Source organism: Homo sapiens, chromosome 13 (genome assembly GCF_000001405.40).
Source record: "Homo sapiens chromosome 13, GRCh38.p14 Primary Assembly".
Taxonomy (NCBI): Eukaryota; Metazoa; Chordata; class Mammalia; order Primates; family Hominidae; genus Homo; species Homo sapiens.
In genome coordinates, this window is record NC_000013.11 from 25,133,839 (window position 1) to 25,158,053 (window position 24,215).

General features: G+C 43.8%; 2 annotated features.

Moving 5' to 3' along the window:
• Positions 2,933 to 3,497: an enhancer, noted in NCBI's record as "OCT4-NANOG hESC enhancer chr13:25710909-25711473 (GRCh37/hg19 assembly coordinates)". NCBI's record gives its function as "activates a minimal SCP1, AML or CMV promoter by ChIP-STARR-seq in naive H9 embryonic stem cells {active_cell/tissue: H9 hESC(naive)}" and the evidence as "EXISTENCE:reporter gene assay evidence [ECO:0000049][PMID:30033119]".
• Positions 3,498 to 4,061: an enhancer, noted in NCBI's record as "OCT4-NANOG hESC enhancer chr13:25711474-25712037 (GRCh37/hg19 assembly coordinates)". NCBI's record gives its function as "activates a minimal SCP1, AML or CMV promoter by ChIP-STARR-seq in naive H9 embryonic stem cells {active_cell/tissue: H9 hESC(naive)}" and the evidence as "EXISTENCE:reporter gene assay evidence [ECO:0000049][PMID:30033119]".

Consider the following 24,215-nt stretch of genomic DNA (forward strand, 5'->3'; position numbering starts at 1 on the left):
TGCCTTAATAAAACCAATAGTAGCTAAGACTTTGATGGTGCCAGACACTCTTCCAAGCACTTTACCTGTATCAACTCATTCAATCTTCACAACCCATAAGGGGGTTATGAATAGTCTCTTCATTCCACAGATGAGAAAATCGAGGCACTGACGTGAAGTGGCTTCCCCTAAAAGCCCACACAGCTAGCAAGTACCAGACCAGGATTCAAACCCAGGCAGTGCCATCCTTTATCACCATGCTCTTGTGCCTTGCAGGATCTTAATCTGTTTGTATTTGCATTTAGTTCTTTTTGTTTTCCTTGGTGCTATGGTTTGAATATGTCCCCCAAGAAAGCATGTGTTAGAAGCTTAATCTCCAATGCAACAGTGTTGGGAGGTGGGGCCTAATGGGAGGTGTTTAGGGTGTAAGGGCTACACTCTCATGGATGGATTCATGCCAGTTACAATGGGACTTGAGGCTACAAGTTCAGTCTCTCACTTGCTCTCTTGTCATGCAATTCCTTCTGCCATGTTACAAAGATGCAAAGAAGGCCCTCACCAGATGCTGAGCAGATGTCAGCACCATGCCCTTGGACTTCCCAGTCTCCAGAATCATAAGCCAAATGTCTTAGTCCATTTTGTGTTGCTATAACAAAATAACAGAGACTGGATAATTTCTAAACAAAAGAGGTTTATTTCTTATAGATCTGGAGGCTGGGAAGTCCAAGTTCAAGTGTCTCACATCTGGCAAGAGCCCTCATGCTATGTGTCAACCCATGGTGGAAGGCGAGAGGGTAAGTGAAGGCAAAAGACAGAGGAGAGGAGGTCAAACTTACCCTTTTTTCAGAAGCTCACTCCCACAATAACAACATTAATCCATTCATGAAGGTGGAGCCCTCATTACCTAATCACCTCTTAGAGGTCTCACCTCTCAACACTGTTGCATTGGGGATTAAGTTTCCAACACATCAACTTTAAGGGATGCATTAAAACCACAGAACAAAATAAATTTCTCACTCCAGCCTGGGGGACAGAGCAAGACCCTGTCTTAAATAATAATAATAATAATAATTTTAAAATTAATTAATTAATTTCTTTTTTATATAAATTACCCAGTCCATGCAGCACAAAGGAACTAAGATGCTTAGAGTGTCAGCTTTGGTTTGTTTATTTGATTTTATTATCCTAACTCTACAGTCCTAAACAGAAATAAGAGGCAGAGACAGGTGTGTCCTAGGCTGTCCCCTCCTCTGGTCTCCTGTCCTGTCACCTTTCACTAGAGCATGCAAACTGGCAGCCCAGGGGCTGAATTCAGCCTACGGTGTGTTTTGCTTCACTGTAGGTGTTTTAAAAATCAGAAATTTTTACACAAAAATCTATATAATCCCATTTGCTCTCTCTGGCTTGCCACAGTACCCACCACATTCTGAGGTCTTATTGCTGGCAGCTACATTTGTTCACACTCTGCCTCCATCACAAAATGATGTCTTTCTCCCATGTGTCTCCTCCTATAAACTATCAGCTCCACAAGAATGCATGTCTTCGGCCGGGCACGGTGGCTCACGTCTGTAATCCTAGCACTTTGGGAGACTAAGGCGAGCGGATCACCTGAGGTCAGGAGTTCGAGACCAGCCTGACCAACATGGAGAAATTCTGTCTCTACTAAAAACACAAAATTAGCCAGGCGTGGTGGAGCATTCCTGTAATCCTAGCTACTCAGGAGGCTGAGGCAGGAGAATCGCTTGAACCCAGGAGGCGGAGGTTGTGGTGAGCCAAGATCAAACCATTGCGCTCCAGCCTGGGCAACTAGAGTGAAACTCCGCCTCAAAAAAAAAAAAACAAAAAATAAAGAATGCATGTCTTCTAGTCATGAGTGTCCCCCTGAACCCAGCACTGTGCCTGAAATAATCAGCTGGATTGCTGATCCATGCTTATCACATTGTGTGTTCTTGAGGAGGAGCAAAATGCAGAGCAGGTGGGAAGCAATGCCCCAGAGGAATGACTGTGGAAGTGAGAACAGGGGAGTTAGCCTGAGTATCCTAGACTCGATGAAGAAGGCTTTTGTACAATCATTGTGGTTCATGGTGATCCAAGGACAAATCTTTCCTTCAAAGCAAGCTGTCGGGAAATCCCATTTCTCATTGAAAATTGTAGTATTCCGTGGAAACTTGCCATGTTATATCAAGTAGCTGATTTCTTAATAAGTGAATTCATCTCCTTTTCTACAGTAGCATTCTCTCACCTTCATTCACCATCTGTCCTTTTGAATTTATATTAATGGATCCCTTCCAAGACATTCGCAGGTTCTGATGTGGGATAAATGTGTGCAAAAATGCTCCATTGCCAGGAAGGCTGTTCTGTTCCCCACCCTTACTGGTGCCAATAAAGATGTTCTTCCCTGTGCTCTGCTTCTCAGAAGTGTAAGCATTTGTGACTCATCAACGCAACACTAAAATTCACTTTTTAAGAGCATATAGTTGTGCTCTCTTAAAGGACAGAAGCAATAAGGCCGCTGACTGTGACTGACTGTTGAAAAAACCAAAGCCTCCATATTTTGCACTTGTCAATTCAACTCTGGAATACAGCCGTGACAATGAAAGATTTACTATTTTTGGCTACAAGTAACTAGGTTCAAAAAACAAATCTCCATTTAATGGCAGTGATTATTTTAGTCCACTTTGAGAGAATCATGTAAGTATATTTTATATTCTCGTGATCCTTTTATCTACTGGGAAATATTCAAGGGGAAAATCAGACTCAGATTATCATTTCTGGAAGGAGAAAAATGAATCTCTTTACTTAGCCCTCCTGGATATGAATGCTGGCCCTGAATTTACCACCTAGGTAGCCTTGGACCAGTTACCTAACCTTTCTGGATCTTAGTTTTCTCATTTTTAAAATAGAAATAATAATAGCGACATCACAGAGTCATTGTAAGAATAAGGTAAGTGAACACATGTGAAGTGTGTAAGCCCGCACGGAAAGCACCATACATTTGCCTTGTTGTGAATGTCGCCATGTTGTGAATGTCCTGATGACCTGTGACTGCCAGTCAGTGTTTGGCATAAAAGTCAGTGGCCACACCAGAAAGTCATATGATCGGGGGTCCGTATCAAAATGACTAGGAAAAAAGAAAACTCCGCAGTGATTCTGGATATCAATTTCCCTTCACTCTCTTTTAAATGCCACCCAGGCTGGAAGTAGCAGTGGTTTGAGATTCAAATGTTTAAAAAGCGGCGGAGGGTCTCCTGCCAATTGTTTGTGGAAATAGCGCACAGCTGGAAAGAACATCCGTCACTGCAGGCCCTTATCTCCTGCGAGGGTAAGGAGCCCTCTGTCTCTCCTGGTCTCATCATTAGCAAGGGATAAAGGGCAGCAGTGGCTTACATTTCCACTTCAGCCTTCCCACACAAAAAAATTAAATCTGATAAGGCAAAATGCTAACATATTTCAAAGCTCCCATTACATAATTCAAAGAGAGTTTAGAAGCTTTCTTTATTTCTCTTAAATTATTCATACCATAAATCTTTAAAATATTGAAACTCCTTTCCCTAGCAGTCAAAGGAGAATGCTGATGGCAAGCTCTCTGCGCGTTACTGAAAGAGACAAGATCGATCCTGGGGGCATAGGAAAGGGACCGCGGCAGGCAGGGGAATGGCCTCCCCATAGAATCTTCAAAGGATTTCATTCAGCCTGCTCTGCTTTATGGAACTAGGAATGTTTTTCTTTTGAGATTAAGATTTTACCAAATGGCATTTATTTTTTCAGATGTTGGTCTCAAGGAAGAGCCTTTAACAAGACACAAGCAAAGATGTGAAGTAGAAATGTCCTCCTACAGCAAATGAAAAGTCGCTCATTAGCAAAACACCAGGGTGCTACTATCTAGACACTAGTGCAGCTGGCACCAATTCGGAGAGGAGAATGATTCATTACCATGGTTACTGATGCCAGAAATATTACCTTCTGCAATCAGCATACACAAAGATCCTTTAAAGAGAGTGTAAAAATTAGAGCACTGTAAACAATTTGTGAAAATTGCCAACAGCACGGAGGCTGAACTTACACAATGCTGCTTTTTGGGCATAAAAACAGGGGATGCACCATTGCTGCACCAGCAAATCTTGCTGAGGGCAAAAAACAACACTCAAGCCCAGGGAGCTTGCTGAAGGCCCCCCAGCAGACATTTCCATACAAGTTTATTACCTGTCCCACTGGCAATTTTAGAGCAAGATCTGGCTGATTGGTAATATCTGCACGATCAAGTTCTGGTTCATTAAACCCGTTAGTGAGATTTGCAAAGGGTCTTGAAAAATGCAGTATATTATAGTAATGGATTAGTATAGCCCAGCGCTGTTGCTTCTTGGAAACAAGATAGGAATAAAAGCCGGGCGCGATGGCTCATGCCTGTAATCCCAGCATTTTGAGAGGCCGAAGCGGGTGGATCACTTGAGGTCGGGAGTTAGAGACCAGTCTGGTCAGCATAGTGAAACCCTACCTCTACAAAAAATACAAAAATTAGCCAGGCGTGGTGGCACATGCCTGTAACCTCAGGTACTTGGGAGGCTGAGGCAGGAGAATCGCTTGAATCTGGAAGGCGGAGGTTGCAGTGAGTAGAGATTGCGCCATTGCATTGCAGCCTGGGTGATAGAGCAAGACTCCAAGTCAAAAATAACAACAACAACAACAAAAAGATAGGAATAAAGAAGTTTTGCTGTTAAATGACACACAGTTTTTATTTTCAACTGCAGTGGATGATTTCCCAAGTTTTGAAATAGGAAAATAGATTAACACCCATGAGAAAGTTCTGCCTGAGTGGATGGGTCATTTCTGTACATATTTTATCCTGTTTAAAGACTGTCAATACCTTAAGGTAATCCATGGTACTTTCTGTATTTTTATTTTTATTTTTGAGAGAGGGTCTTGCCCTGTTGCCCAGGCTGTAGTGCAACGGCGCGATCTCAGTTCACTGCAACCTCTGCCTCCCGGGTTCAAGCAACTCTTTCACCTCAGCCTCCCGGGCAGCTGGGATTACAGGCGCCCACCACCACACTGGGCCAATCTCTGTGTTTTTAGTAGAGATGGGGTTTCACCATGTCGGCCAAGCTGGTCTTGAACTCCTGACCTCAAGTGATCCACCCACCTTACCATGGTACTTTCAATAAACTCTAGTTCGAACTTGGCAAATTCTGCTGAAAATGACTATAGTAAAACTTGTTATTCAAAACTAATGTCTAAGTCACGAGCATTGGAGCAGATAATGAACTGACATTTACCTTCCCCAACATAAGCTCTTCATAAAAATGTTGTTAAATTAATTAGTGGTATAAACAAAATAATAGTAGAGAATATCTGATCTAATTACAAGAATAAAGTGTTTTTGTGTTTTGCAACATAATTTGCAAAGCTAATGAAAATGTTCTAGATTTCATATTTGTCATCTATTCTTTAAAGAAAGAATAGCAGTTTATTAATACTTTTTTAGCCACAGTATGGGTTCAAGTGGACATGATTTGACAAATACATACATATGCACATTCATACACATACATATACTTGTAGATGTAATGTAGATCTGTAGATGTAATGGAATTTCCATATGAGCAGGGTGTTTTGTTTACATTATTCATTGTTCTATCCCAAGCACCTAGAAAAGTGATAGCCACATATAAGATTATATACAGGTATAGCCCTTTTTTTTTTTTTTTTTTTTGAGACAGAGTCTCACTCTTGTCACCCAGGCTGAAGTGCAATGGTGCGATCTCGGCTCACTGCAAATTCCACCTCCCGGGCCCAAGAAATTCTCCTGCCTCAGCCCCCCGAGCAGCTGGGATTACAGGTACGCACCACCATGCCCGGCTAATTTTTGTATTTTTAGCAGAGACGGGGTTTCACCATGCTTGCCAGGCTGGTCTCAATCTCCTGACCTCAGGTGATCCACCTGCCTTGGCCTCCCAAAGAGCTGGGATTATAGGCGTGAGCCACTGTGCCTGGCCTAGTCACCGCACCAGGTCTAGTCTTCTAATATCTATATAGTCTGCAGATACACACACACACACACACACACACACACAAATGAATATGAAGACTCTCTCCCTCTCAGAATTCAAAAAGGTTTTCATTGATCTTCTTCGTGAGCTTTCTTTGTTGGAGTCCATATGTCACCAGTGCTCCAGTTAGGTGGTGAGCATGGTCACAGTTCTGTGGGCTCTGAGCCTCCTGACATTTGACAAGTGCTCCCCAGCTTGCTGCACTTGGCTTCTCCAGTTTGACTCTGGTCTACCAGGTTCATGGCCCGGCCCTATGCACTGCTTCTGTCCCTGATCCTGTGTCCCCAAGCCCAACTAGGAAAGAGTGCCTGATTCTTCTTTGCTTCACCTCGATATATTCCTTTCAGCCTCCAAATAGTAGCTGACAGGGACATCACTGACTTCTGATCTCTTCCAAGCATGGCAGCATCCTTACTAGCTTTTCCTTGGTGCCAATGGTTGATATTCGACCATATGCCACCCACAGCTCTCAGAGAACAAAATCAGCTGCTGGAGAAGTCCCTTTGCACACCAAGGCATGGGCAGCAAAGGCAAGACTGGCCACAAGGCTGGGGATGGGCTAAAGTGACGGGCTTGCTGACGTAGTAGCTCCCAGACAGATGACCCCTGGAGGCAGTCACTAAACCCTGCTTTTTTCTCTTTGAAAGAATTACATACCTCCCTGAGATTATCAGGCCTGAGCACAATTATGTGTTTGCTGGGACCTTGGAGTAGAGAGGCTGAGAAGGCACTACAGAAATTGCAACAAGGCGCCTGTGATCCCAGCACTTTGGGAGGCCGAGGCGGGTGGATCACGAGGTCAGGAGATCAAGACCATCCTGGCTAACACAGTGAAACCCCATCTCTACTAAAAATACAAAAAATTAGCCGGGCGTGGTGGCAGGCACCTGTAGTCCCAGCTACTCAGGAGACTGAGGCAGGAGAATGGCATGAACCCAGGAGGCAGAGCTTGCAGTGAGCCGAGACCACGCCACTGCACTCCAGCCTGGGGACAGAGCGAGACTCCGTCTCAAAAAAAAAAAAAAAAAAAACAACAACAAAGAAATTGCAACAAGAAACTCCATGAGACGTGGGTGGATGGTGGCAATGCCTGTCTCTCCCAAAACCTGCCCTATCTCCCACAAAGTGAGGCTGATAGGACCCGGCTGGTGTGGACCCCCTGTGAGGACCCTCACTCCTCTACCTCAATAGAGTATTCACTTCTGTCCAGCGAAGAAACCTAAGAACAGAGATATTTGAGAGTCTGCCCTTTCTCAGTAGGCAGTTTGATGGAGTAGGTCAGAGTGCCAGCTTACAGCCCATCACAGATGGACTTCAATCTCTGCTCTGCTACTTACTACCCGCTTGATCTTGGGAAAGTTGCGTAACTTCTCTAAGCTTCAATTCCCGTAACTGTAACATGGCGGAAGCAGTCACCTACCTCATAAGTTGTGATGAGGACTGGTTGCTGGTGAGCCTGGAGTGTCTGGTGCTTAGGAAGCCCCTGGTGACTCTGTTCCCACTCTTGTGATCATCAAAACAACCCCACATGAGCAGCCTCTGTTTTCTCCTGTGCCCACCCTGAGCAGGCTCAGCATCTGGACCCAACTCCCATCTGTGGCTAACCAACTCCATGATGCAATGATGGGAAATCCATACTTTATTCAAGATTTCATGAGGATTCCATAGAGAGGACTCACAACACCTAACCCACAGTGGAAACAACAAAATTCCCCATTAAACACCTACTTCTCTCTTCCAACATGTTCCTTGCCTGTCAACCGCACACCTTCTCCTTATCTCCCCACAAGACAGAATCTAAATATCTTGCTTGATGCTCTGAGCAGTCCAGTCCACACCTTCAGCTTCAAACCCCATACTGAAAAACACAGGGCTGGGGTCAGCAAATGCCTGCCTGGCCTGACAGCTGGTGTGGTTCTGAAGCTCCACAACTTTGGCCTAATCATCTCTCTCAGGGGTTCTCCTCTCCCCTGTCCTTGGGGAAGGAAACAAGACAAGTCAACCCCAGTGTGAACAATGTCAAGTTTCATTCCTTTACTGTTTCTCTGGGATGCTCCAGTTTGCACAGCCAGGGGGATTTAAGAACTTCTGACTCCAAGGCTTTATCCTTCTCCATCCTCCACATGTGTTTCTCCTGGGCCTTATGCAGATGAAAGATGTTACTGTCTCAACTTACCTTGGTGCAGTTTAACAAGAATATCGGAGATGCCCACCTCCACTCCTTCATCAGCCATGAAATGAAGCGAACCAGAGTACAAAGCCCTTGACATCCTTTCAGGAATTGAACAAAAGGCATGGTTTCCTGGCATAATAGAAACCTTCTAGACTTCTTCCTTCCCAGAAATGGGTGGGCAGCTTACCTCCGCAGGGCCCTACCCTGCTTCCACCCGGGGGCCTGGATCACACATCACCCATCTCTGCGTAGTGATAGGAGGTAGAATATAAGCTTTACCATCCTGCAGCTCGGAATTTGAATCTGGGATTTCCCCACTTAATGGTGCATAAGTTACTTACCCTCTCTGGGCCTCAATTTCCCCATCTACAGAACACAGATAATATTATCTTCCTCAGAAGATTATGGTTAAGACCCAGAGCCTGGCACAACACACATTCCCAGCAGAGAGTTGTGATTTGTTTCTAACGTTGGCAGAGCTGGGTCTGGCGTTTCTGAGCCCACGCGGCTGGCTTCATGGTAAGCATCGGCCCAAGGAGGCTGGGATGCTGACCTCAGGGGCCAGCTGCCTTGCCACTTGGACCCACATTCTGCCTTCCTGCCTAGACCATGGGATTTCATTCTTATTATTTATTTTCCTCAGATAAGAAAAAAATAGACCAGTGGTCCTCAACTGGGGCAATTTTGCCACTTCTCCCACCCCCAGGAGACATTTGGCAATGTTGGTAGACATTTTTGGCCATCACAGCCGGAGTAAGGGTGCTACTGGCATTGGTGGGCAGAGGCCAGGAGTGCCGCAGATCATCCTGCGATGAACAGGACGGCCCCACAGCAAAAACCATGCAGCCCCGCGGGCTGACAGTGCTGAGGTGGAAAACCCTGAAGTAGACCAAACGGATCATTTGGTTTCATCTGTGTCCAGAATATATAATACAAGAACATTTTTTTCTTAAGTAGGGGAATAAGCGGTTGGAGGTAACCATGTAAAAAATACATTTGTGGACAAATCCTTTGAAAAGGACAATAAGAATTGTTATCAAGAGGGTAAGATCTCAGATGATTTTTCTTGTATTTTTAATCTTCCTCTAATGTTATTCAGGCAACAAACAAAGAAAAAAAAATCATTCTAGGATGTGGCACAAGATTCAGCTGGAAATTTAAACAAACAAACCAGCACTTAAAGACTCAACAACCTTCAAACCCTATTCACCCAATGAGCCAATTTGTCCACAACCAGTGCACTTTGAAAACACCTAAGATAGAATCCAACTGAGCAAAATCAGCCTTGGGAGGGGTAAGAAAACCATCCACGTTAAAATAATTTAAGTAGGGCTTTTACATTCATTTAATTTTTACTTCACTGTTCATTAAACCAGAAAATGACAGCAATTGTCATGACTGGTTAGGTCAGTCGAGACAAAAAATTTCTGGTGTGACTGGTTGTTTCTTTAAATTATTACTATTATTATTATTTTTTGCCAGAAACTATTTTGACCTGCCAAGTCATTAACAACTTCCAAGCCAATCTGTGTGTACAAATAGAGCCAAGGCAGAACAGTGGGGCACAGAGAAAAAAGCAGGCACTTAAAATACCTTTTACATTATTGTAGGATCTATAGCTTCCATCATAATGAAGGAAAAAATATGACATTTATAATGAAATGAAGTGGCTGAATATCAGAAGATGTAATTAAAATGAGGAGGAAAAAGACCCCAATACGTAACCGTAAAGGTTCATCACGGCAAGATGCGTAAAGTCCTGTTCATTTGAGGCCAGAGAATGGCTTAGATCCCAAAATACTGTACTCTTAAAGAATGAGTTACTCACCATATTTCTTGTGAGCCGAACATGTGAGATACAATAAATGCTTTTAGTCACTGTCAGCACAGTGGAGATAATTTGCATATGATTTACATATAATCTTTTTGCAGGCAGATTACGGCGTTCACAAGTCTAATCTTTTTTTTTTTTTCCAAAGAGAAGGAGCCATTGACTAATGGATTTCTTTTAGATAATGTTAGAGTTTTCCAGCTTTTGTTGTTCCTGCCTCTAACCACTGAATATTAGCAAGCTCATAAATTGTCCTTTTGATTTACATATTAACACTCTGATCAAGACAAGAAAGCATGACAATCTAATCTTTGAAATGGTTATATAGTATGGGGTTGGGCTTAGTTCCCTGGGAGAAATGCCAAAGTTATAAAATTATAAACTACATTATTTATGAAAGAGAAATGTGTCCTGACAGAAATTAATTTAAAGGCAGAATTCTGTAATGGGTACAGCTTATTTGATCTGCCCATTCTACCCTGTGTAGTCTTGCTGTACTAATCTGTTTATTTACTCACTGATACACTTATGCTGTACTCCACAAATGATTCTAGGAAGCACACACACATACATAAAATGCACACACATAAGAATAGTTGAGATGACAAAGAATTAAGCCAGGGAGAGACTATCACACAAAATTCAAGCCATGCAGAGCTACGGTTCCCAGAGTGAGCTACAAATTTGGTGCCAAGCTTCTTAGCAGCCAAAGCAAAAAGTGCACCCCAATTATCGCAAGGTTCACAGAAAACAAAATTTTTCAGAAGTAGAGCATTTCTTGACTGTGAGACTTGGAAAATTTTCTATTGTGTCTCATGACAGCAAGTTCTCAAAGGATTTGTTAAATAACAGTAAATTTTGTTTTCTGTTTCATTACTTTCTGCGCTTATCTATATCATTTTTGAAATATGTAAATAGAACACAGTTTTGAAAAAACACTACCCGAAAGAAACTCATATTACAGGCGTAAGGAAACATGCATAAAGACGTTTGTACAGCATTGTTTTATTACAGACTAGATTTTCATCAGTAGAAGAATGGCTCCCAGCATGCACAATATGACAAAACCCCATCTCTAATTTAAAAATATATAAAAATTAGCTGAGCATGGTGGTGCATAGTCCTAGCTACCAGCGGGGCTGAGGCAGGAGCATCACCTGAGCCTTGGGAGGTTGAGGCTGCAGTGAGCCGTGATAATGCCACTGCACTCCAGCCTGGGCAGTAGAGCAAGATCCTGGCTCAAAAAAAAAAAAAAAAATAGAGAGAGCGAGAATAGCTCTATAAATTTTGAAATATCCATACATTGGGATATAATATGGCAGGTTAAAATAAATAAATTAGACCTGTATAGATAAATCTCAAAAACATTAAATAAAAAGTGAAACCACCTTTGCAAAAATTATAACAGTAAGAAAATAGGTCAGTGAAGGAGATTATATAACAAAAATATATACATATTTTTACATATGTACACATCCACATATGATTAACAAAAATATATAAACATGGATAAAAAGGATACATAACTTCAGGACAGCGATTCTCTCTAGGGCAGCAAAGAGAGGAATCTGGTGGCAGCCACATTGTGAATGCCAGATGGGGATGGAGAGCCGCAGAGACCCTCCACCAGATCTGTGATATTATGAAATATATACTTGGTCCCTACTTCCTGATAAAAGCTCCTAAAACCTTTGGAATTTCCAGTGACAAGAGTGGCTTTTGGCCGGGCGTGGTGGCTCATGCCTGTAATCCCAGCACTTTGGGAGGCCGAGACAGGCTGATCACCTGAGGTCGGGAGTTCAAGACCAACCTGACCAACATGGAGAAATCCTGTCTCTACTAAAAAAACAAAATTAGCTGGGTGTGGTGGCACATGCCTGTAATCTCAGCTACTCGGGAGGCTGAGGCAGGAGAATCACTTGAACCTGGGAGGTGGAGGTTGTGGTGAGCCAAGATCCTGCCCTTGCACACCAGCCTGGGCAACAAAAGCGATAACTCTGTCTCAAAAAAAAAAAAAGAAAAAAAGAATGTCTTTTGTACGCTACGCTAATGAGATGACTGGTAGCTAAGGGCCTGTAGATAGCTTCAGGGTGGGGACTGGTCAAAGGAAAGACCAAGGCATGATTAGAGGGTTGAGACTTTCAGCCCCATCCCCCAATCTCCAGGGAGGGGAGAGGGGCTAAAGGTTAAGTTGATCACCAATGGCCAATGAGTCAATCAGTCATGTCCACATAATGACAGTTCCATAAAAACCCCTAAAGGACTGGGTTTGGGCAGCTTCTGGGTTGCAGAACACATGGAAGTTCCTGGAGGATGGTGCCCCAAGAAAGGGCATGGAAGCTTCAGGGCCCTTCTCCCATACTTTACCCTATGCATCTCTCCATCTGGCTGTTCATGTGTACCCTTTGTAATAGCCTTCATAATAAATAGGCAATGGTAAGTAAAGTATTTCCTAAGTTCTGTGAGCCACTTTACCAAATTAGTCTAATACGAGGAGGAGCCATGGGAACCCCAATTTATAGCTGCTTGTACAGAAGCACGGGTCACAGATGAGCCTTATGATTGGCATCTGAAACGGGGGTGGGGGGGGCGGGGAGGGTGGCAGCAGTCTTATGGAACTGAGCCTTTAACCTGTGGCATCTGAGGCTATCTCCAAGGAGATAGTGTCAGAACTGAGTTGAATTGAATTACAGGATACCCAGCTGGTGTCCACTCTAGAATTGTTTGGTGTCTGGGAAAAAATCCCCACACACCTTGTATCAGGAGTGTTGTGCTGAGTGGTGTGTGAGATTAGGAAAACTATCAAATATTTTAATATGAAACTCCACCAAACATCTTGGTTGGGATTTTCCCCCCATCTCTAAGATTATCTGTAAGACTTTCTTTAAACAAAAATAGGAAATAAATATGGCAAACCAATTAACAGTCTAATCTTGGTTGTGGGCACTTGGATGTCTCTTATTCTTTCTGTCAACTTTTCAGTGTATTGGAACATTTAATATTTAAATATAAAAAATTAAAGGCCGGGCGCGGTGGCTCACGCCTGTAATCCCAGCACTTTGGGAGGCAGAGGCGGGTGGATCATGAGGTCAGGAGATCGAGACCATCCTGGCTAACACGGTGAAACCCCGTCTCTACTAAAAATACAAAAAATTAGCCAGGCGTGGTGGCGGGCACCTGTAGTCCCAGCTACTCGGGAGGCTGAGGCAGGAGAATGGCGTGAACCCGGGAAGCGGAGCTTGCAGTGAGCCGAGATTGCGCCACTGCACTCCAGCCTGGGCGACAGAGCGAGACTCCGTCTCAAAAAAAAAAAAAAAAAAAAAAAAAAAGAAAAATTAAAATAATAAAAGGGAAGTTAGAGGACAGATTTTAAAGGATCTAGAAGACCATAAAGATGCAACCTTTATTCTCAAAGCAATAAGGCTGTTTGATCAAGGCAAAGCCTTGTCAGAGCTGTTCTGGAGAAAGATGACTCTCCCAGCCACATAGAATAGATACACAGAAGAGTTGGAAGCAAAGAGGTGTATTAGGAAGTTGTTGTGAAATTTCTATTATAAGAAAAATGGTGCAACCTATATTACTTGGAAAATATACAAATATTTGCTTAAAATATATAAGCAAATCTCTTGCTTTTAAATTCCTGTGATACATAATTAACTCCATCTCTGTATTTGAAGGTCATATTCTCAAAAGTTGTCCTATAGGGATTATTGGAGCCCTTACTGTCCCATCTCACCATCAGGCTCAACGTTTTTTCTGACTCAACTGTAGATTTGTGGAAAATATTTTGATTACTATAAAGAGTGAATGAGAAAAACTGAGACTGGGGGTAGGGAGGGAATCAGGAATCAAAAAAGATTATTGCTTCTATTAAGAATACCCTAAGGGGAGCAACATAAAATTAAAACTGAAAGCAGATTTTGTGCAAATCACATGCTAATTCACTGGTGGCCCATCTATTTTAAGTACTGGCTTAGTTACATGTGATTAACATGAGTACATCAAATCCAAGAAGGCACACAACACAACTCACAGTCCTCACAGCAATGCACCGTGTTTATCCCGCTGAGTTTTTCCCAAGAGTAAATTCACCTATAGGAGAAGCTGAAGACCCACACTTGCTCCCTAGCCATAACTTGTCAACTTGCATGATCTGTGCATGCCCCAGGAATTTCCCACAAATCAGTACATTGTGACTGATTTAGAGCACTTTCCATTCTAGTTATAACTCTGTCTACATTAGGTATATGTCTATGGACATTTCTGCTTTCACACTGTAGGGCTGGCTACCAAGTGCTGCTTAAAAACAAAACAAAACAAACAAACAAAAAACACTCTCAGAATTGTGCTGATTGACTCATCTATGTATTTGTGCTATCTAACCTAGGGGTGGAGTGGTGCTTATAATCTTGTATTCATGGGTAAACTATCTCTTCTCAGTCCCCACGGTGCTGTTTCAGACTTTGGCAGTCACCTTAAGTCCCTCCCACTTTCTGGCTTCCCTTTTCCACTTTAAGAACGTGAGCCCTCCTGGACCTGAAGCGATGCCTGTCGTTCACATTGATCGCTCTTGCTTGTCCTATGTGGATTTCCTCATCTTCTTTCCACTTGGGGGAAATTTAATTTGAGTGTGGCTCCTGCCCTGTGCTAAGGGATGGAACAGGTGACCCACATGTGGCTCTTCAGCACCCAGCAATGATTGGATCAGAGGTGATCACATGTCCCAGAGGCTGACCAATCACAGTCAGACAAATCCCTGGCCACGAAAATTGGTTCGAAGATGAGATTAAGACCCCAATCAGTGGAATCCAGGTCAATGCCAAAATTTGCACTTGACCTCCAGGAGGAAACCTCCTTTTTCTTTCCTTGTGCTGGATCCTAAGAGGATGAGCCAGGGACTAAGCAGTGGCCCCTGAGAATTGGAACCAATGAAACAGAGAGGAAAAGAAACCAAGATCTGATAGCACTGTTTGAATTCCTAGATACATACCTCGCTGAAACCAGCCCTGCCCTTGGCCTTTCCATGAACCAGTGACTGCCCTCTTTGTTTCAGTCAGTCTGAGCAGGGTTTTCTGTCACCTGCTATTGGGAAGTCCTGACTAACCCAGTGCCCTGTTCCGTTCTCCAAAGCAGCCTCTGCATTCCTTCTCCAGGCTACAGGCAGACCTTGTCCTCACACCCTCCACAGATGGCCTGCCTCTTATGCCACTGAGAAAAGAGAAGCCATCAGGGACATAGCCCCCAGCTTCTCTCTTCTGACTTCTCATCTATCTGCACCTCCGCCACTGTTGCAATATCAGAAAAGGCGTCCTGTCCAAGGAAAGCCTGCCACCTCTGCTCCTGCCCCGCCTGCCTGCCCTCCTCTTACACCTAGCTTTATCAGTTACTCCCTTTTCTTTGTGTAGCTTCAGTCTCTCCTGCCGCATGGCTCTTGATCTTCAGCACATGAACTTACATATGTCTCTCACTGTCAGAAGAAGAAAAAGGCCCAGCGTGGTGGTTCACACCCATAATCTCAGCACTTTGGGAGGCCAAGGCAGGCGGATTGCTTTGAGCCCAGGAGTTCTAGACCAGGCTGGGAAACATAGTGAGACCATGCCTCTAAAAAATAAAAACAAAAATTTGCTGGGCATGGTGGCACACGCCTGTGTGCCTCCTAGCTATTCAGGAGGCTGAAGTGGGAGGGTCTCTTGAGCCCAGGAAGCTGAGGCTGCAGTGAGCTATGTTTGTGCCACTACACTCCAGCCTGGATGACAGAGTGAGATCCTATCTCTAAAATAAATAAAAATAAAATAGAAGAAAGAAAGGGAGGAAGGGAGGGCGGAAAAAACAACTTTTCTTCTTCCAGAAAATCAATCTCTCATTCTTTTCTTTTCTTTGCTTCAGAACATGTTTTGTTCAAACATCTCCTGTCCTCGCTCTACTCTCCCATCATTCACGGCAATTAGGATGCTGCCCCTCCGCATCCTAATTGGAGAGCTCCGGAATCTGCCAAGTGCAGTGGCCTACTTTTAGCATTTCACTCCTCTCTCACAATTGGTTCTGCTGATTTATCCTCAGCATCCGTGAGGGCTCCCTCATGGATCTTATGCTCCTTTTCAGTGGCCCTTCCACCCCTTTCCATCCCTGAACCCAACCAGTTTTTTTGGATGAAAAAACTTGTTGAAAATGTGACAAAGTCCACAGTTTGTTTCCCTAGAAACATGTACTTTGCATATCACTGTTCAAGGCTCTTAGTAACAAACTGCACAATACAGTACAGCAGTTTAAGTAGAGGGGGCTTTGCTCAGAGAACAGATAGCTCACACAACGGTTGGGAGCCTGCAGCCCTACAGTAGAGCTGGTCTGCCTCTGCCCAGCGAGGAAGCTTCCAAATCAAAAGCCACCACCAGCTACTGGCGCAAAAGCGATCTGCCTCCACCAGGATCTCTGCCGGCAAAACGGGAGCCCCACACCCCACTCTTCTCTTCTCCTGTGTAACTCCATCCCAGATCAAATCTCACCTGAGGTTCGCTGTCTCCAGGTGACCCTGTTTCTAATCAAGGTCTCGCACAAGCTCATCTTACTGGCAGAATCTAAACCTTGTCCAGAGTCCCAGCTTCAAAGGGGGTGGGAATGTAGTTTCCCACTTTCCAACTTCTGCACTCTAGGGAGGGCTGGAATAAGAGCTACTAACCCATCTACTGTATCACCACCTACCCACAAACACAGAATCCAAGGACTGAAGTTCAAGGATCACATTTTAAAGGTTAATGCTCCTAAGTGCTTTAGTAAGGATTTCTGTTGTTGTTACAAGTGTTGGAAATTACACTTCAAATCACCTATAGTAGGAAAGGGAATTAATTGGCTCAGATAGTCAAAAAGTTCAAGAGCAGAGCTTGGTCACATTCATGTCAGGTGAGCGTGGGCATCAGGATCTGCTTCCCACTCCCTGGCTCTCTTTCCAGCTCTCCACTCTGTTTGCCACCGCTTTTCTCTCAGGCAGGATCTCCCTGCAGGGACTGGGGGCCAAGAGATACCAAAAGGCGGAGGCTCAATGCTGCGAAGGCGAATCAAGACTGTCCGTTATAGGCCGGGTGCGGTGGCTCACACTGTCATCCCAGCACTTTGGGAGGACGAGGCAGGAGGTTCACTTGAGGCCAGGAGTTCAAGAGCAGCCTGGGCAACACAGGGAGATCCTGTTTCTACCAAAAAGAAAAAAAGACCATCCATTATACCAGGATACTCACAACAAGTGTGTGATTTCAGCTACTGCCTTGACCTACCCCTTGACTTATTGGAGATAAATCTTACTTTGATTATTTCCATTCAGTGAAACAGAAATTTAAGGTCACCTGAAGACATGATCCAGCTGAAAGGAAATTTCTAGAAGGAGAGGCACTCTCTTTTTATTCCTCATCCATTCCTTCAGAATGGTAAACAATATTCTGAAGTGACTCACATTCCTTCTGTTTTTCCACTGAAAATGGAATTGTTTACTGTTGAATAATCCAGCTCACTTTGTCAGAATGACGGGCATAGACATTTCTGTCCACAGAAGATTTTTTAAAACATATATACATATTATTGCTTCCCCAGGAACAGAACTGTGAATCCTTATGACCTCCAAATCAGACGATTCCATTACTCTTTCATCTCATGTAAGGAAGGCTCACAACCCAACATGTCCTAATTAACCAATTTTCCTTCCAATATTTGCTTTTCATTCAAAATTTTTCCTGTTTCTATTAATCACCTTCTACCCTTTACCCAAATTAGAAACTTTGGAGTCGTCTGCCATTTCTCTCTCTCTCTCTCTCTCTCTCTCTCTCTTCTTTCATACCAAGTTCTTCACCAAGTACTGTTACCAGCTTCTAATCTCTCTCAAATCTGTGTCTTCCCCTCCTCCTCTCTACCTTCCTTAATTCACAAGGCCTGGAGGTGCAGCAAAAGCTTGAGAACAGGTTTCTCCCCTCCAGTCTGGCCCTTCTGCATTCCACCCCTTGCTAGAAAAGAGAAGCAGACACATAACTGACTTTAGAATCGCCCCTCACTCCCCGTGGAATCTTGAGAAAAGTCATTTCTCCTCCTTGGACTTGAGTTTCTTCATTTGTAAAATAAAAGAGTTGGGAGACATAATGTCTGAGGCCCTTTTCAGCTCAAAACTCCTGGAATTCTAGTTCCAACAATTCTGCCCTACCCATCTCACTGGGTTATTGTGAAAATCAAGAGGTCATATGCATGAGCCTGCTGGAAACCTCCGACTTATTAGGTTTTAAATCTCTAGGAGTGTGATTAATCACCCTTAATTCATCACTGTCATCTCCACCTGGTGCGAAAGGTATGATAATAGCTAACATGTATTGAGCACTTACTGTGTGCCTGGTGTTTTGCGAAGCCTTTTGCACTCATTATCTTATTCAATTAACTCACATAAAAAGGGAACTCTGTCATCACTTACCAGGTCTTAGAATGTGGTCTACCTGTTATCAGATAAGCCACATTCACTGCACTAGATCCCTAGGTGAGCAGAGCGAGGAAGTCAGAGCAGATGAAACAAAAACTGCCAGGAGAATGTCCGTACAGCAGCAGGACCACATACTGTCAGGGACAAGTGGAGCAGGCACCCTACCTGGTGTGCAACCTTCAGAAACCAGGTCCCCGGGGGTCGAAACTAGTGCCCCACCCACAGATGACCAAGGACGTAGCCACAAACGTCTCAGGCTCCATCAGAGGTCTTTCCGGCCACCTCCTTGGGCTCGGGAAACCACAGTTTCTGGGCAATTTTATTCCTCCCCGTAAGAGACACAGAATGTGTGCCTCTCCTACTTTCCTTTTGGCTCTCCTTTCTCCGCCCACATCGCTGCTTTTCAGCTAGACTGCCCCTCTCTCATTCTCGTGTACTCATATTGATTCCCTTGTCCTCACCACTCCCTCTCTCCGTGTCCTCCAATTCCAAATCTTACTCGGGAAATCTCAACCTCAGGAAAAATCCATCTTCCCCTTCCATGTCAGGCTGGGTTCCCCAAAAGCATGGCCAGGTGGGACCCCTGGGCCTGTGTTTTATTCCAGGAGGGCTCCTAGGAGCATCTGGAAAGGGTGAGGAAAGGCAAGAGGAAGCGTGAGAAAGGATGCGGTTTCTGGGGAGATCTACCCTCTGCCAGACCCTGTGGGCGCCTGGAGCAGAGATTTCACCTGAAGCAGAGATTTCACCTGAGAGCCTGACCTGCTTTCAGTCCAGGGAGCAGGGCCTGTGTGTCCCCTTTCCAGGCACAAAGTGGGATGAGGGCAGCTTGCAGACACACCTGGAGAGGGAGTTCCAGCCAAGAGAAGGTCGCAGAGATGAGTCTGTAGGGGCGAAAGGAAAGCTTCCCCTTCACCCTCTGAAGGTTCACTGAAAAATCAACTCACAAAAGGAACACAGATTTATTAAATACACACAGGGGAGAACCAGAGAGCCATAGCCCCCACCTCCAGAGGGGTTCAGAAGCTTATATACCATCCTGAGGTTATAGAAAGAATGGGGGCTTGAATTGTGGCAAAGCAGGTTATGGGAGCAGGGCGAAGAGGAGGCCTGGCCAGCAAAGGTGGTCTTGTTACATAGGTGAAAGCAGCCTTCAGAGAGAACAAATGGTAAACGTTTTTAGACTTCTATTTTTATTTCTTTAGATTCACCTTTTATTTATTTCTTATTTTTTAAATTGACAACCAATAATTATATTCACGGGGCACACAGTGATATATCAATACATATAATGTACGGCAATCAGAAAAGGGCAGTTAGCATATCCATCATCTCAGACATTAATCATTTCTTTGTGTTGGAAACATTCAGCATCATCCTTCTAGCTATTTGAAACTATCTGACGTATTATTGTGAACTATAGTAACCCTACAGTGCTACAGAACACTAGAGCTATTCCTCCTGTTTGGCTATAATTCTGTATCCTTTAACAAACCTTTTCCTGTCCTCCCTTCCCCCTAGGCTGCCCAGCCTCTAGTATCCTCTGTTCTACTTCTTACTTCTATGAGATCAACTTTTTTGGCTTCTACACATGAGTGAGAACATGCAGTGTTCAACTGTCAGCCTCTCAGTTCATTGTTCTTAGATGCAGACAAGGGAAGGACTCAGAGAAACCAGGATGGCCTCAAGCCGGGTTTTCTCTACAGATGCAAATCTGCCTCACAAAAGGCAGCTTTGCAAGGCTAGTTCTGTTCACTGGTCCTCTGAACGGCCATCTCAAAATATGCCAAAGGATATTTTGGGGTGAAATGTTTTTGTTTCCTTCAAGTTATTATTAGCACCAGCACCTGAGCCTCCCTGGAGACCTGGGCAGAGCTGCCCTAGTGTCTGCAGCAGAATTCCTCCTTCTTTCCATTCCATTTGCCTTCACTGTTTTCTCTTTTATGTAATTACCCAGGTAGCAAGGGCGGAGAAATTATTTTTAAAGCTGGCATCAGACTTGCTACTAAGGAAACACCTGTTTAGGGAAACACTTGTATTGTCCTGTTTTCTGGGCAGGTTGAGAGCAGAGGCTTTAGGGAGATGAGGAAACAAAGTGAAAACTATGAGCAGGTGGTGCTCAGAAAAAGAAACCCAAACGGCCAGTAAATATAGAAAAAGATGCTCAGTCTAAAAGCTAAAAGCTGGCTGGCACAGAGAAGAAAAGGCCCACTCACTTGTGTCAAGGTGGCTCGGGGTTTGTGGTGAAGTATATGCTCCAGAGCTCCTCTGAACCCACAGTTTTGCTCAACTGAATTGCCCACTCCTGTGGTTTGAATATTTGTCCCCTCCAAAACTCATGTTGAAACTTCATCCCCAACATGGCAGTACTCAGAGGTGATTGGCAGAGCCCTCATGATGGCTTAGTCCATTCATGGATTCATGGATCGATGGGTTAATGGATTGATGGGTTACCGTGGGAGTGGGACTGATGGCTTTATAAGAAGAGGAAGAGAGACCTGAGCTAGCACGTGGGCACAATCAGGCCCCTGGCCATGTGAGGCCCTGTGCCACCTCAGGACTCCACAGAGAATCCCCACCAGCAAGGCCCTCACCAGATGTGGCCCCTTGACCTTTGACTTCTCAGCCTCCATAACTGTAGGAAATAAATTTCTTTTCTTTATAAATGACCCAGTTTCTGATATTCTGTTTTAAGCAACAGAAAATGGACTCAGACATCCACCATTTGAAGGACTGCATTTAAATTTAAAGGACCAGGTTATCATTTCTATTGCTTTCTGATATTTTAAAATGAAAAATTTATCAAATGTGTATATTTAAGTTTGTAATTGAATTTCATACTAGAATCCACTGAGATTCATTATGTTATTCATTGGTGCTATTGCTGCTCTTATTTAACAGCTACTGGGAGAGGGAGAAATAGAAAGTCATTTTCTTCTGATGTAAAACGGGGAGAATAACTGAAATGACTGACTGCAGTCTGGAGTTTCCCTAAAAGGTGAGTGAATCTCACATGAGCTTGGAGACCTCACGACATTGAGAAGGGCAGGGCCCTCCCAAGCTTTTCCTGTCATGGCGCTCATAGAAAATGACAATATTTATACAGCACAGTGGGGATCTGAGGACAACCGTATGGGACTTGGTAAACCGCATTACATTTTCTTCATATCATAATTATGTCAAGAAAAATAAGTATCCAGGGAACTATTTAATATTAACTTTCTTAAAATTTTTCAATAAAATCTTTTTGAGGACTTTACTGAGAAATGTGGGCTTGCTGTCTTGGGCGTAGCTTGTCTCTTGGGTTTTGAGCCAAAAGTGGCTCTGCATTTTTTTTCTAAATCTCCATAGTCGCCATCCAGGAGAAAACGTGTTCACACGAACGGGTGATAAGTTGGAAACCATTTTGCAAATCTTCCAAACATTTATAACACTTGAAATTAGATTTAAAGAATCTAACAACACTTTCTTTTCTTTCATGATGAAAGGTCTTACAATAGTGGCAAATAGATTTTGACTCCAGTTGGACTTTTTGGCATCAAACATTTTGCAAAGAAAAAGCTCTCCCTTTTTCATGTTTATCTTACTTGCTTTAGAACAGTCATTTGAGGACAGAGACTCCACTCAAAGTGCCCATCAGCCAGAAACAGACAAGCCTGGTGAACGGGAAGGCAGAGATTGGGGCCTGGCCTACCTGGCACTCCCACCCCAAAAAAGGCTACACATTGAGCCATGGAGATCTGCTCCTTGGACATTTCCAACATAAACTCCAGCAGCAGCTCCACCTGCTTGTCCACTAAATAAGGAGCAGGTGGCTGAAGTCCATCTCCAGGTGCTGGGTCACCTTGGTTGCCCCTCCTAATGCTGCAGGGAGTCCCAGTGTTCCTCATCCGTGCTCAGTCCTGGGGGAACCATGGGACAGTGTTGGGTCCTCCACCTCCTTTCCAGCCAGTCTCAGAGGAATGCCAAGCCAGCATGCTGGCCAGCCCATCCAGGCCCTGCCAGGCTGCCCTAAAGGCTGAGATCAGTTCCTCAAAGCACACCTCTGAGGAGTACCCAGTGAAAGCCATATGCCAGGAGGGGAAAAAGATCTCTTCAGGGAGACAAAGTTTCATGAAATAGCTGGGAAACAAGTGTAGCTGGCAGAGCAATTGGACATACAAGCTATAAGAACATACTATCAATTTTTACTTCTTTATTTATAGAAAATATAATGAAAATGATTTTTTTAAATACTTGATGTGGAGCTGATAAAGTTAAGCCTTTCTTTTCACTGTATTCGGCAATACTGCAATTCGTTTCTGATGTTGGCCACTCAGGTTAGCATAGATTCCATGAGGTGAAGGGAACAAGAATGTCCTCATTTCAGATGGCAGCCACATATTCAGAGGTCCAGGTCACTTGCACAATTTGGGGGTTCCCATGACCCCCTTAGGTTTGATAACTCATTATAACCACTCAGAGAACTTAGGAAAGCACTAAACTTACTGTTACAATTATTATAAAGGACACAACTCAGGGCCAGTCAAATGCAGAAACACATGGGGCAAAGTCTGGGAGGGTGCCAAACACAGAGCTTCATGCTCTCTGTCCTTGCAATTGGGACATGTCACCCTCTTGGCACATCAATGTGTTCACCAACCAAGAAGCTCATCCAAGAAGCCCCAGCGTCCAGAGATTCTATTAGGGTTTAATTCCATGAATCACTGGCCATGTACTTGAATTCAATCTCCGGCCCTCTTCCCCATTCTGGAATCCAGGAGTCAGGAAGCCATGGCTCAGAGCCCCAACCCTTTAATCACAGGGTTGGTATTTCTGGTGTGACTAGCCCCAATCCTAAGTCATCTCATTAGCATAAACTCAGGTGTGGTCCAGGAGCCCCCCATGAATAATGAAGACAAGTTTATCACTCAGGAATTTCCAAGGATTTAGAGGTTATCTCCCAGGAAGAGGAACAAAGACCAGACAAATTACTTATTCTACAAAAATCCCAAAGAACACCAGTTCTTCACAACATGATTCTCAGAACAAATTTCCCCCAAAAGCAAGAATTGTATGGATTTTCCCCCAAGGAAAAATAAATGAATTATTGGGAAGATAATGTTGGACTAAAGGTCAGTATGAAGAAAGGCAGTTAAGAGAATAAAAAATAATGATGTTAATGAGAAGGAAAGATTACAACCAAAAATCTGAAAAGAAATGATCAATTAAAAGGTGCAAGTCCTTGGGCGGGTGGCACCACAGATCATCTGCAAGAGTGCAGCCAAGTACAGTGTCATCTTTTATTGCTATTTAAAGACCTACAGGTTGGGATATCAATCTTGGTGGACCATCACTCCTTGAACCAAATGTTGGGCTTAGACTTACCAATGGATGGGCCACTCCACATAGGAGAGAAGAAATCCACCTGACATCTACCAGGCAGCCACTATTATTGGTTGTAGGCTTGCATCAGACCTGGTGGTGCATTTCTGAAAGACTGAGAAAACAAGATGTGATGCGAGTCTTCTGAAATGCAGTCCCATGGGCAAAAGAAAGAATTAGAAGCTTGTTAAGAAACACATTACCATCTGCAAAGAAGTACCAGACATATATCTGTGAGAAATTGGTGTCTTCTGGGAAACACTGAGGTGCCAGCAGCTGACGGGGAAAGATAAAATAATGATCACTGTATTCTTCCTGCCAACTTGGGAGATTTTCTTGATGAAGAAAGATAAGAGGTAAAAATGTCAGGCATGCAGG